General features: G+C 39.1%; 1 protein-coding gene across 7 annotated transcripts in view; it reads right to left on the bottom strand.

Annotated features, from left to right (window-relative positions):
- EML4 (EMAP like 4) overlaps nucleotides 1-15,088 on the bottom strand; it is a 163,196-nt gene that overhangs the window by 147,170 nt on the left and 938 nt on the right. The gene's annotated exons all lie outside the window — the stretch shown is intronic.

The following is a 15,088-nucleotide window of genomic DNA, read 5'->3' as shown; positions in this document are numbered from 1 at the left end:
TGTGACAGCAGTTACAGACAATCCCTAAGTCAATGAGTACGGCTGTGTTCCAATACAATTTTATTTATGGATATTGAAATCTGAATTTCATATAATTTTCACGTGTCACAATATTTTTATTTTTCAACTACTTAAAAATGTACAAACCATTTTCTCAGACAGAACGAACAAGAGACCAGGCTGGCCAGAAGGTGGTAGTCTGTCAACCTCTAATCCCGAGCAAATTACTTTCTCTCTCTTCAACTCAGTTTCTTTATAAAATGAAAAAAAAAATCAATATATGCTCAGGTATTATATTATTCCGGGACCAATGATTTTGCCAATATGTCACAGATGTATCATTGCACAAAGGAGAGAAAATTAGATTACATAAAAACAAAAAGTTAAAGAGAATTTTATCAATCCACTGATCCTATGGTTTTCCCATCGGCCAAAGCGGTTAGGCACTGGATATGAGAGCAGTTACCACTCAAAAGGCAATACATTCAACCTAGTATAAGGCACATTCTTGTCCTTAAGAAATGTATTTCCTAACTGAAGAGACAAGATAAACATGAAATACTTAAAGGGCTATATATGACTTAAGAACATAAGGCAAATATATGATTGATCTCTGTAAGGAAAATCAAATGTGCTAGATTTCAGAAAATAGGACAGAAAATCCCTGTGGATTAAAGTGGTCAAAAGAAGAGATGGACTTAAACTACTTTGGATAAACAGGAATTAGTAAGAGAAAGGAGAGATATTGAATAAATAACGGTATAAGAAGAAAGCAGTTCACAAAAAACTAAGCAAGAAAAGGGATACAGAGGGAATCCATGTAGGGGGCGCAGTAAGGGGTGAAGCTGGAAAGGTAGGTGAGAGCCAGGTGGCAGGACAACTTGGACACCATACTAGAGTTTATCTCATAGAAACTTGAGATGAAAGTTCTTAAACCAGGGAGTGACAATGAAAATGGTGTGTTAGCACCGGGGCCTGTTGTGGGGTGGGGGGAGGGGGGAGGGATAGCATTAGGAGATATACCTAATGTTAAATGACGAGCTAATGGGTGCAGCACACCAACATGGCACATGTATACATATGTAACAAACCTGCACGTTGTGCACATGTACCCTAAAACTTAAAATATAATAATAATAATGAAAAAAAGAAAACAGTGTGTTAGAATGAATAACCTGGTGGCCATATACAGGTTAAGTAAGAATAGAGTGAGATAAAAACCATATCAATGGTTTTCAAACTACTGAAAACAACTCTTTCTTTGTTGCTGTGACACAGACTCATTCAAAAAACATTTAACACCATCTTATAGGTGCTACTACTAAACAACACTTCAGAGCACAGCAAATAGCCCAAATTGCTTTAAGTACCAAAGTAGGTGTTAAAGTCCGGAAAGAAAGAGGGCCAGAAGGTCAAAGAGGTGACCTCATCCTGGTGGTACAACCCACATTTTGCCTCTACCAACACAACCACCCACAAACAGCTGTTTTAAGACCTCCCCAGCATCCTGAGAATTCTCTAGTGACTGGATGTAGGTCCTGAATCCAGATTGATAAACAGTGACCTATAATAATTAACCTGAAAAAAAAGATTTTATTGAAATACAGCCAGATTATTTAATAAGAAAAAAATTCTAAAAATAAAAATATATGTCCAACCATAAAGGTAGCATAGTATATTATTTATACTTGTATACACAGTATTATATTTATACCTTAAATATAAACGATTTAAAAAAAAGGAACTGAGAATGGAAGCCTGCAAAAAGCATATGTGTATTTTATACATACATATACATATACCAAAAACCTATCAAAATCAGATACAGTGACTAAGATGTATGATAACAAAGTAGTCCTAGGACAGCTATCAATGTTGTAACTACCTGTTTTGTATCCCCAAGATTACTTTTCTGTATAATCTGACATAACCATATCCCACACAGGTTGTATCACCACCATCTAAGAAAAAAGGATCATGTGCTTAAAACCGACAATGTACACATCAATTGTTTACACAGAAGCCACTGACCTCCTAACAGTGAATAATTTAATTAAAACTCTTTATTGTCTATCTCCCCTCATGATAATACAAGCTTCATGAGAGCAGGGATTTTTGTTTTGTTCACTGACATATTCCCAGTATGAAAACAATGCCTGGCATGTAGCATTTACTTAATAAATATTTGTTAAATCATTAGATTTCCATTCTGGGAGCTATAATTAGTTTCAGTCACCACTCCGTCACCCAGGTTGGAGCTCAGTGGTGCGATCTCAGCTCACTGCAACCTCCACCTCCCAGGCTCAAGCAATCTCCCCACCTCAGCCTCCTGATACCTGGTATCACAGGAGTGCACCACCATGCCTGGCTAATTTTTTGTACTTTTGGTAGAGACAGGCAGTGGGCTGTGGGGGGGCCTCATCCAATACAACTGGTATCCTTATAAGAAGAGGAAATCTGGACACACAGGCACCAGTGATATGTACACACAAAGAAAAGGCCACATGAGGACACAGAAGATGGCAACCTACAAGCTAGGGAGGAAGGTGTTGTAAGAAATCAAACCTGATGAAACATTGATTTCTGACCTCTAGCTTCCAGAACTGTGAGAAAATATGTTTATGTTGTTTAAACCACCCAGTCTGTGGTAATTTTGTATGGTAGCTCTAGCAGACCAATAGACATGTAAACAAGATTTGGGAAGTGATATAAAATAAATATTTGTGATATTTGGTGGAAAAGCTATAGTTTTCCACTTTTTCATTAAAGCTACTGTTTTCTCTAAAAATGATTAGGTGTCTCCCCTTCCCCCATAGTTCAGTCCTAAAGCTATCAAGGCAGCCAGTGCAAGGCAAGTGTGTAAGGAGGTCATTCTGGCAGAGGAGCAGCACAGTACGGGGTGTCAGTTTAGTGCAGGGTATCAACAACCAGGTGGATGAGAAAGGCAGCCTGGCATAGGATGCTGGAGCCCTGGTGGGATGAGAATGTCGGCACAAGATGAGGGGGCAGCCCAGCACAGGTTCAATCAGAACCTGAACAAGCAAGGAAGCAGAAACCAGTGGAGGGGGGAGGGGGGAGGGATAGCACTGGGAGATATACCTAATGCTAGATGACGAGTTAGTGGGTGCAGCGCACCAGCATGGCACATGTATACATATGTAACTAACCTGCACAATGTGCACATGTACCCTAAAACTTAAAGTATAATAAAAAAAAAAAAGAAGAATTTTTCTACATAAAAAAAAAAAAAAAAGAAACCAGTGGAGACAGGAGATTGATTATGTAGGGGAGGACTCATCAAATAAATAAATACATTAAGCATAATGGAAGCCAGGTTTCTGTTGGGGAAGTAACTATATGTAAAAGGAGGAAACAAAAATTAACCCTACGCTGTTGTAAAAATATAGCTGTAACTATATCTATATATTGCCACACACATATGTACATAAATATATTCCTTAATTTTAACTACTGTGACGAGGACTCCAGCAGCACTGAACACAACTAGCACATAGAGCTTGGTTTCTAAATACCTTTCTCCATAAAAGAACTAGGGCTCCTTGGCAAAAATGGCTGATTCTAGGGCTGGAGCAAAAAGGGCACAAGATGAACCTGGATCATCTTATTGTGTCACAAAACAAGAAAGTCTTCAAAGAATGATGAGAACGTGGCAAAAGAACAAAGAAGACAGTTTAGAGGGGTATCTACTTGCCAAAACAGGGTCAATTTAAGCATCAAAATAAATAGTAATGGACTATAACCCATCAAAAAAATATGAAACCTGGCCAGGCGCGGTGGCTCACACCTGTAATCCCAGCACTTTGGGAGGCTGAGGTAGGTCATTTGAGGTCAGGAGTTTGAGACCAGCCAGGCCAACATGGTGAAACCCCATCCCTACGAAAAATACAAAAATTAGCCAAGTGTTAGTGGCGTGTGCCTGTAAACCCAGCTACTCAGGAGGCTGAGGCAGGAGAATCGCTTGAGTCCGGGAGGTGGAGGATGCGGTGAGCCGTGATCGCACCACTGCACTCCAGTCTGGGCAATAGAGTGAGACCCTGTCTCAAATACAAAATAAAATAAAAATAAAAAAATAAGAAACCTGAGTCCATACAGATATAAACCAATAAACTGAAGGTCTGATGAAGAACTGAATATTTACATAGTTTCAAAGCACATTTTACAAAATAGCTATCAACTACCAGCTAAAACAAGTAAAACAAGAAAAATAATTTTGCAATTACTAAAATTGTAAAATTGTGGGCAAGTCTAGCAGACACCAAGTGATCAGAATGGACATCATCAGTAATGGGATAAATAAAAATTGTGTGCCACCTAATAGGATGCAATGAGACAAACACAGCTTCACTTCTGTGGCATTTCTCCCAAAATTGCATAATTTGAATCTAATCAGGATGAAACATCAAATTTAGGGACAGTCTACAAAACAACTGGAGGGCAACTTTCCAAAGTGTCAAGGTGACAAAACCCAAGGAAGACTAAGGAACTGTTCCATATCAAAGAGACTAAAGAGACATGAAAACTAAATTCAACATGTAATTGTGAACTAGATCTTTTTGCTATAAAAGACATTATTGAGACAATTAGTGAAACTAGAATGGGTCTGAGAATTAGTAATGTATCAACATTTCCTGATTCTGTTGGTTGTAATATGGTTGTGTAGGAGAAAGCCTTACTTACAGGAAATAAACACTAAAATGTTAGAGGGTGATAGGGCATCCATTTAGCAATTTAATTCTCAAATTGTTATAGTGTAAAGAAGACAGGCACTTTCATCACCTCTTGGGCTAGGTAAAGGTTGCAAAGACAGGTCTATAGAGGCCAGGAAAGAAATGACTAAAACAAGCTGCATGTAAGGTAGGGACTGAGGGCACCTGGCACACCACTTAGCACATATACAGACCATCTGGAATGGAATGCAAGTCCAGAGTGGCAAGATCACCCTATTTTTCAATAGAAACCAAACATCCACATTGTTATGTGAAATCTCCCTATTTTTAAAACACTCAAAAGGGCCAAACAAAATATGTCTGTTGGCTAAATCTGAACCACAGCTACCTCTGGTCCAGAGACATGTTTCTCAAACTGAGGCTTAGGGATAAAAGGAAGCCACATGATACATACACGGAACATATTCTTGGAGCCGCAGTTTTATCTCAAGGGTTTGCCTGGAATTTTCTGGAAGACAGGATAGTTCCAATTTTTTTTAATGCCATACTATGAAGTATAATGCAAAGTTCATACAATTTTTTTAAACTTTTCATTTGAAAATGATTCCAAACTCACAGAAAAGCTGTAAGAACAAAAACAGTACCAAGAATATCCACATAGCTTTCACCAAATTAACCTATTATTAACATCTTACCCGTTGGCTTTATTTACACACATGCACATATGCATGCTCTGTCCCTCCCTCCCTCTATATGTACACGTATCTGTGTGTATATATAAAACACATATGGCCGGGTGTGGTGGCTCATGCCTGTAATCCCAGCACTTTGGGAGGCTAGGTGGGTGGATCACTTGGGGTCAAGAGTTCCAGATCAGCCTGACCAACATAGTGAAACTCCATCTCTACTAAAAATACAAAACTAGCCGGGCATGGTGGCATGTGCCTGTAATCCCAGTTACTCGGGAGGCTGAGGCAGGATAATCGCTTGAACCCGGGAGGCAGAGGGTGCAGTGAGCCAAGATCATGCCACCGCACCCCAGCCTGGGCGACAGAGCGAGACCCCATCTCAAAACAAAACAAAAAACCCCCATATATGTATTACCTTTGTTTCCTAAACCATAAGCTATAAACATCATGGACCATTCTCCATAAAAACTTGGGTATGTATTTCCTAAGAATAAAAATATTCTCTTACATAACCTGAAGACAGTTACCAAGTTCAATAAACATTAATGCAATACTTACCACCATCCACATGCCAATTTTGCCAAGTGATCCAATAATATCCTTTATTGTATTTTCCCCTCTATACAAGATCCAGTCTAAAATCAGGTAGTTCATTTAGTTACCACATCTCTTAAGTCTTCTTTAGTCTGGAATGTTTCCACAGACTTTGTCTTTATAATATTAAAAAAAAAAAAAAAACCCAGCTCCCCGACGTTTTAAAAAATAGGATGTTCCCCATCTGGAGTTTAAAATTTCCTCATGATTAGATTCAGGCTATGAATTCATGGCTGAAAAACACTGTAACTGATGTGCTCTTTTCTGGGTATCACATGCAGAGACACACAAATCCATTGGTGATATTTATTTTGATCATGCACACAAGGTGTTGTCTGATTTCACCACCATATTGAGTTACTGTTTCCCCCCCTTACAAGTAATAAGCATTATATGGGGGGAAATTTAAGACCATGCAGACAACCTGCTTCTCACCAAAATATCCCCCTAGATTTAGCACCTATTGATGATTCCTGTCTAAACAAATCTTTATTATAATGGATGCAAAACAATCATATAAATTTTAAAGTTAAATAGATTTCAACTTTTGCCTACACTCCCAGATCCCTTAGGTGTAAGTGCTCAGCCCCCTCCACTTTAGAAGCGCTATAGTGCAATGGTTTGAGTGTACCAATCAGGGACAGCTTCCTGGGGAAAAAATGTATTTCAGCAAATAAGTGGGGAACCAGTCAAGACACAGACAACTCCATCAGATCAGCTTAAAAATAAAATACAGCAATATGGTAAATCCTCTTTTTTGCAGTTGTTGTTTTTGGCTCCCAGGGATCTCTCACGTGACAGGCACCACACGGGGGATACTCACCACACTACAAACAAGGAAAATCCTCTTTCTTATTTGAGACAGGGTCTCGCTGCTCGCTCTGCTGCCCAGGCTGGAGTGCAGTGGCATATCATAGCTCACTGCAGCCTCCACCTCCTGGGCTCAAGCGATCCTCTCACCTCAGCCTCTCAAGGAGCTGGGCATGCACCACCACGTTCAGCTAATTTTTGTTTGTTTTTTTTTTTTGGTAGAGACAGGGTCTCACTATGTTGCCCAGACTGGTCTTGAACTCCAGGCCTCAAGTGATATTCCTACCCTGGCCTCCCAAAGTGCTAGGATTATAGGTGTGAGCTATACCACCTGGCCTGAAAATTCTCTTTCAAAGTAAAGAATTGATTTGCAAGGTAAACATACCCTAGCCCTACCAATTTTATAAAATCACTTCTTTACATACTGAGTTTGCCTGAATTACACTGATTCTACAACTAATAAATATCTTTCTGCTGCTGCTGCTGTTAAACATATTCTAATTATATTCAGATTCTAAAAACTTGTCAAAGACATAGCCCGCAATGATTACTTCTGATTGTTCATCCACCTTTTCATGTATGTCAACCTTTCCACCTATTCTCTCAAAGATAGGGATTAGCCACTAAAAATGTATCTTTCATCTGATTGTGACCAACAGAAATTTTACACTGAAATCTAAGACAAATATATGTAACTGAAATTAAATGTTCCATGAAGCAATATCACACGAAGTACTGATATTTTACATTATCTCTTCCTCTTCTCCTCATTTTTCTAATGTTGGTCCTGACCACGACTAAACTGATTTCAAAAACCATTAACAGGTCATGCACATGACTTGTACTTGAAAATACCCTAGAATCTGGCACAGAATTCTTTATCAGATTCCCAATAAAGTCTAGAACATTTCACTTATTTCAGGTGAAATGAGAAATAAGAACATAATGAGTTTTTGTTTGTCTGTTTGCTTGTTTGAGACGGGGTCTCGCTGTGTCACCCAGGTTGGAGCCCAGTAGTGTGATCTGCGCTCACTGCAACCTCCACCTCCCAGGCTCCAGCAATCCTCCCACCTCAGCCTCTCGAGTATCTGGGACCACAGGCGTGCACCACCATGCCTGGCTAATTTTTTTGTACTTTTGGTAGAGACGGGTTCTCACCATGTTGCCCAGGCTGGTCTCAAACTCCTGAGCTCAAGTGAGCCGCCCGCCTCAGCCTCCCAAACTGTTGGGATTACAGGCGTGAGCCATATTTAATTTTCAAAGTAATTTTACAATTTTTTATTCTGAGATTGTGTATTACAATCTTTTGGTCTTCAAATGTCATTTCTTTAAAAAAAAAAAGAGGTATGAAAGTGAAGGTTGTTAAGTTGTCAACTATATACTAGTCCCTAATTTATTTCCTCCACATTTTACTGGATCATGAAATCTCCACTGCAAGACTTCAAAGACACATGAGAGTTTCAGCCTTCAATAAAACCTTCAATACAGCCTTCAAGAGGTTTATAATTTGGCTTAGGCATGGTACCTGCAATCCCCCAGCACTCTGGGAGGCCTCAGCGGGCAGATCACTTGAGGTCAGGAGTTTGAGACAGGCCTGGCCAACATGGTGAAACCCGTCTCTACTAAAAATACAAAAATTAGCTGGGTGTGGTGGCATACACCTGTAACACCACCTAGTCGGAAGGCTGAGGCAGGAGAATTCCTTGAACCCAGGAGGCAGAGGTTGCAGTGAGCTGAGATCATACCACTGCACTCCAGCCTGGGCGACAAAGCAAAACTCTGTCTCATAAAAAAATAAATAAATAAAAATAAAACCAATTTGGCTCAGGGAAATAAGACATAACAATTGTAAGATCTGTAATAATTACTTTCACCTTATAACTATTGGAATAAACATTCTGCAATAAGTACCCCAAGAGTGGTCCTATCAAGTGTTCACGGAAGAATACTTTGGGCTGGGAATGAAAAGAAGTAAACATTTTTAGAAAGGAAATAATATTTGAGTTGAGCCTTGAAGGGTACTGAGAATAGTCATCAGGATGAAAAGATGAAAATGTGAGGAATAAGAAATAGGTCATTTTGGTCAGAACATGGTAAGACAGTAGAAAGAGATGACAGAGGACTTGAGAAGATGTTAAGAGGCTAAGATGTTTGAATGTAGTCATTAAAGCAATGAAGCAATCTGAGAGGGTGAATAGCACAATCAAAGCATGGCTTTAGGAAGATAAATCTGAGGGCCCTGTACAAAATAAACTGGACAGGTGGAGATTCTCGACGCCATGCAATAATCCACGCATCGAATAATAAGTACCTGAACTATAGCGGTGGAAAAGAAAAGGGATGAGAAAAGGTGACAAGAATTGACAAGTCTTAGAAGAGATTCTAATGCCCTAGGCAAAAATGGCAAAGAATCAAAACATGATTCTGAAATTTCAAACTGGGTGATACAGTCAGTGGGAAATAAGGAAAAGAAGCTGATTCAGGAGAGAAGTTCAGATTCAGGTATGTACCTGAGGGTTATAAAGAGTCAGTATTGGAGTAGAGAAAAGACCACTGGACTCCATCAGAAAAATCTGAGTTCAAGTGGGAAAAAAAAAAAAAGGTTAGGATCCAACGAAAAAAACAGAATGCAAAATTATGTCTGCAGTATGATTTTAACTATTAAAAAACTAAGCATAGGAAAAGACTAAGAACAAGTACATTAACATGTTAACATCAGCTGCATACAAATGGGCTAAAGATAATTTATTTTTCTATTCTTCTTTCCTTTCTATGGTGTTTTATTTAAAAATAATATGATGCTGGGCATGGTGACTCACACCTCTAATCCCAGCACTTTGGGAGGCTGAGGTGGATGGATCACTTGAGGACAGCAGTTCAAGACCAGCTTGGCCAATATGGCAAAACCTCTTCTCTATTAAAAATACAAAAATTAGCTGGGTGCGGTGGTGCACACCTGTCATCTCAGCTACTCGGGAGGCTGAGGCACAAGAATCGCTTGAATCCAGGAGGCAGAAGTTGCAGTGAGCCAAGACTGTGCCACTGTACTCCAGCCTGGGCGACAGAAACTCTGTCTCAAAAAAACAAAATAAAATAAAATAAAAATAATATAGATACAAACACTCCCAACCATACAAAAAAAGAAAAAACCTGGACTTAACCTTTTAAAAAAATAACACACTCTTGGCCAGGTGCGGTGGCTCACGTCTGTAATGCCAGCACTTTGGAAGGCCGAGGCAGGCGAATAACAAGGTCAGGCGATCACAACCATCCTGGCTAACACAGTGAAACCCCATCTCTACTAAAAATACAAAAAATTAGCCAGGTGTGGTGGTGAGTGCCTGTAGTCCCAGCTACTCGGGAGGCTTGAGGCAGGAGAATAGCTTGAACACGGGAGGCAGAGGCTGCAGTGAGCCAACATGGTGCCACTGCACTCCAGCCTGGGCAATAGAGCAAGACTCCGTCTCAAAAACAAACAAACAAACAAAAACACGGCCAGGCACGGTGGCTCACACCTGTAAGGGAGGCCAAGGTGGGTGGATCACACAAGGTCAGGAGTTCAAGACCAGCCTGGCCAAGATGGTGAAACCCCGTCTCTACTAAAAATACAAAAATTAGCCAGACATGCTGGCGGGCACCTGTAATCCCAGCTACTAGGGAGGCTGAGGCAGATAACTGCCTAAACCCGGGAGGCGGAGGCTGCAGTGAGCCGAGATCGCGCCATTGCACTCCAGCCTGGGCAACAGAGCAAGACTCTGTCTCAAAAAACAAACAAACAAAAAAAAACCACTTTCTAGACCTTTTTCACCTATAAAAGTATAATAATTTATCTCCCAAGGTTAGTATGCAAATTAAATGAGATAAAAGCTCTTTGTAAACTGTAAATAAGGAATGCTTTAAAATAATATTTAAAAATCATATACAGCATGCAAAATTAAGGTATTATAAAAGCCTAAGACAGCTAAAGGACAAGAGATCATATACCGACATACAAATATACTACAGGGTCAGGCACAGTGGCTCACACCTGTAATCCCAGAACTTTGGGAGGCCAAGGTGCGTGGCCATCACCCGAGGTCAGGGGTTTGAGACCAGCCTGGCCAACATAGTGAAAACCTGTCTCTACTAAAAATACAAAAATTAGCCAGGTGTGGTGGTACACAACTGTAATCCCAGCTACTCAGGAGGCTGAGGCAGGAGAATCGCTTGAACCCAGGAGGCAGAGGTTGCAGTGAGCTGAGATCGTGCCATTGTACTCCAGCCTGGGAGACAGAGCAAGACTCCGTCAGACACACACACACAAAGAAATATACTATAGATTTGGGAATCTTCCACACTGAGGTAATACTAGATGAAGTAGATTCTTTCCCTAAACTTTTTACAAGTATTAGAATCTATTTTAAAAATCAAAATATTTTTCTAAAATTTCTTATGAATATTGAAGTTTTACATGTTACAGAAATGGACTCCCACATACAAAATACAGTATTTTGCTACATGTTATTCCAACTTACACATAAGACAGAAAAAGACTCCCTAGAATTTAAACTGCTAAATTATTTCATTGTTTTAAAAAGCCAAGCTCTGCAGAGATAAATCTAGCAATCAACAAATGTTCTCTCAGAAGTTACTTGCTTGAAACATAGCACAGCATTCTAAATGGTGCTTCCTCCCTTCATCCCCATTTCTGGTACTTAGGCTTAATAATAAACATCTCTACATACAGTACATACTTTATTTATTTATTTATTTTTTAGAGGCAGAGGTTTGCTCTGTGGCCCAGTGGAGTGCAGTGGTACAATCATAGCTCACTGCAACCTTCAACTCCTGTGCTCAAGTGATCCTCCTGCCTCAGCCTCCCAAGTAGCTGGGGTTACAGGCACATGCCACTATGCCTATTTTTGTTTTTTTTGCAGAGACAGGGTCTTGCTATGTTGCCCAGGCTGGTCTCAAACTACTGGGCTCAATCGATCCTTCCACCTCAGCCTCCCAAAGTGCTGGGACTACAGGCGTGAGCCACTGCACCTAGTCATGGTACTTATTTAAAAACCAGGCAGTAAGCTCCTAAAGGGCAAAAAGCATGTCTTTTACTTGTCTTTCCCATAAGAACCACCAAGCATAGTGCTAGCCCATGTTCGATGTTAATCCATACATATGTTGAAAAACACTCTAGCTAACTCATGTTGAAGATGCTCTACTAACCATTTAAGAGTTACTACTCATGTCTGGTTACACAACTTGAGTCTATCTTGAACTCTTCAAGAGGCAACCAATAAAAAAAGTTTAAAAAAAAAACCTCTCCAAATATTACATGAAAAACATTTTCATGTAAATAAGGAATGCTTTAGATTAATATGTGAAAATCATATACAGCATTGTTCCTTTAAGAAAGCAAGACTATTATCTGTGATGAGAAATCACAGTTCTAACAATGTGATGTTAAAAAGACTAATTTCTGAATAGTCCATAAGTTGAAGCATACTGCTATACTTGTTCACATTTACAACCTGTACCCAGAATGTTGTTTCTTATAGATCCTAATCCAACAATTTCATTCACTATGATTTTTCTTAGGGGGAAGAAGATTTTAAGTTTTGTTGTTTAACTTTTGAGGCAGAAAAATTTAAAGCTGACTGGTTAGGTATAAGGTTTCTTTCAAGTGAAAACAGACTAATCTCTAGGTTAATTCCAAGATAAAAGTCTTAAAATTAAACCTCTATTATGAAAGAGATTCTAAAAAGATTAAGCATGAAATGCACCCAATCCCTGCCTTATAAAAAATCGGTAAAAGCTGTATGAATAGCTTCCCACTTTTGCACATAGACCTGAGATTTAATATACATACAGTATATACATTTTGCACATGGGTATCTATATGTAGTGATTTAGAGGCAACACATCAAGGTAATTGAGTACTTTTCTCTCCTAAGTTTAAAAAAAAAAAGGTTTCTAAAGTGCTGCCTTAAGTTACCATAATTTGTGGATTAAAAGATATATTAATAATACCTAAGGGAAATTCCAGAGTACAAGCACCTGCCAGCCAAGTTGCCTGAAATTCATCAGCTGCGGAGATTAAAAGAATTCTTCACTTGTTTTTTATGTAAAACAAAGATAACATAATCAGTACCATGTAACTTCAATGTGGCATTTATAAAATGGCCAATCACTTATCATTCCTATGATTTAAAAAACCACTACCTAGTCTTAATTGCCATTAGACATCTTATAAAATGCACATAACACAGTGGATTTCTTATCTAAACATGCAACAATCAAGGGTACAGTTTGAATTTTAAGTTTTCACTTCACAAAATGAGTCACCATAGGATTCTCTGAAATAATCTCTTCTCTAAAATTATTCTGTTTATAAAGTACTCAATTTTTCTGCTTATAAAAATGTAGTTTTTTCACCATTTTTCAAGAATCTATCTAATATGTAAAAGGAAATACACACATACTTCCTTGAGAATAAATGCTTTCAATAGTTGTAACCCCAGAAGAACTTCACGTTTTGACTTCTTGTTTAAAAAAAAAAAAAGTTTTTAAACACCTACTAGAGTAGAAGTGCTTGCCTTTATATTCATGGCTCTCCTGATGGTAAAATAAAGATCAATGTAACTCTAAGCTCTAGGCTAATTAACTGCAGAGAACAGAAACAAGCAATTTGGCAAGAGCTGAGCAAAGCTCCGCTTAAAGACTACCAGTAAAATATACCAGCACTACTCCTCCCCCACCCCTTTAAGGTTTCAATTAAGATGGGGCCTAGTTTTACTCTTGCAAGGGGGACAGAAAGAGAAAGCACAGAGCTCCCACTGAGAAGTATCTTCATCAAGAACAGCTCCAGAAATACTGCCAGGAACCATTTCCTTCCCTCTCTGCAGATGCAGGTTCCTCTGATAGGCATATCTCCTCTGCTCCTGATTAACACCATATCTAAAGGAAAGTCTCATCACATACCACCCAAAGCATGGCATCAAATGAATTTTTTAAATCCAACATTAGGGTCAACAATGACGCTCTTTATGAAAAGTGTGAGCCCCAACTGCAATTCATCTTCATCTCTCGGTCTTTTGTATCACTTGCCTCATAAACTGGTTAAGAAAGAAGAAAGCTATTACAAAGCATAATCAATGTTTGAAAATAAACATTAAGTGCCCCAACTGGTGAGAAAGACTCCTCCTAAACACTTACAGAAGATGAAGCTTTAACAAGCCCTCCAGAAATCTTTAGAGCCAACACGAAAGAAGTTAAAGTGATCTCACCACTCCTACAGGATGAGGACCCAATACAGTATAAAGATAGCACAGCTCTCCACAACATCCCCTAAGAAGACACTCAATTTTTACTTTAGTATAAGATCAGCCCTTCAGCGGACATATAGGACAAGTTTTTCGGTCCAACACTTACTGTGAATAAACCAACGCATGGAGCTAAAAAAGAACCAGGGAAAAATGGATGTCTCTCTAAAAAGAGCCCAACCTAAGTAAGGAATTACAAGACATCAAAGGTTAGATAATGGACAACAGGTGCCTTTGAGGAGGAAAGAGTAACACAACACTCAGTTGCCTCCTATTTTAGGATTTCCACTCTGAAAGCAATATAACGACAATTTTTTCTGCCCAAGAAAAAGGGAAGGCCAAAATTATAGGTTTTACTATTTAATATCTATAATAGGCCCATTGCTCTTTGACTTACTTTTTTACTTTAGATTTTAAAAATCCATCTCATCTCGATATTATCTGGATATAGTACGGCCTATGGCCAGACTGCTCACTGATCAGTGAACATTAACCAAGTAGAGACTTATTATCAAGAAATGTAAAAGAAAGGCGTCTGAATACAAGCTACCTGCACATAAAAAACTCAAAATACAGTTCCAGCAGTAGGTATCACACAACTGCGTTATCAGCCAAAGCTGAAACTGTTTCTCTCACCATTCTAACAGTTGAACTTAATCTTTTACTAGATTTCAATGGCCTCGAAGAATAGTAATTCCAGATTCAGCTTCTAGGGCAGCGAATACTAGCCTGGAGTTTTGATTTTCCTAGCCAGAAGATTACCTTCATCTGGTGAAAGGAACACTGAAAAGGCACTTCAGCCTATTTAATAACCTCTTCCCTTTCTCCATTCCACAAAGACAACATCTTCCAAAAATGGAGAATCCTTTCCTTCCCTGATAGAGGCCCCCTTTCCTATTGATTCATTGGGCAGAATCACTTCTCCCCAGCATGTATGCAGAACCAGAAAACACTTCTGCTTTCACTCTTAAAGAGGGTCCCCCAACACAGATGCACCTCTTCCTTTCCT

The sequence above is a fragment of the Homo sapiens genome, chromosome 2, assembly GCF_000001405.40.
Source record: "Homo sapiens chromosome 2, GRCh38.p14 Primary Assembly".
NCBI lineage: Eukaryota > Metazoa > Chordata > Mammalia > Primates > Hominidae > Homo > Homo sapiens.
Note: the sequence above shows the minus strand (reverse complement) of the source record. Positions and strands in the feature narration are given on the sequence as shown.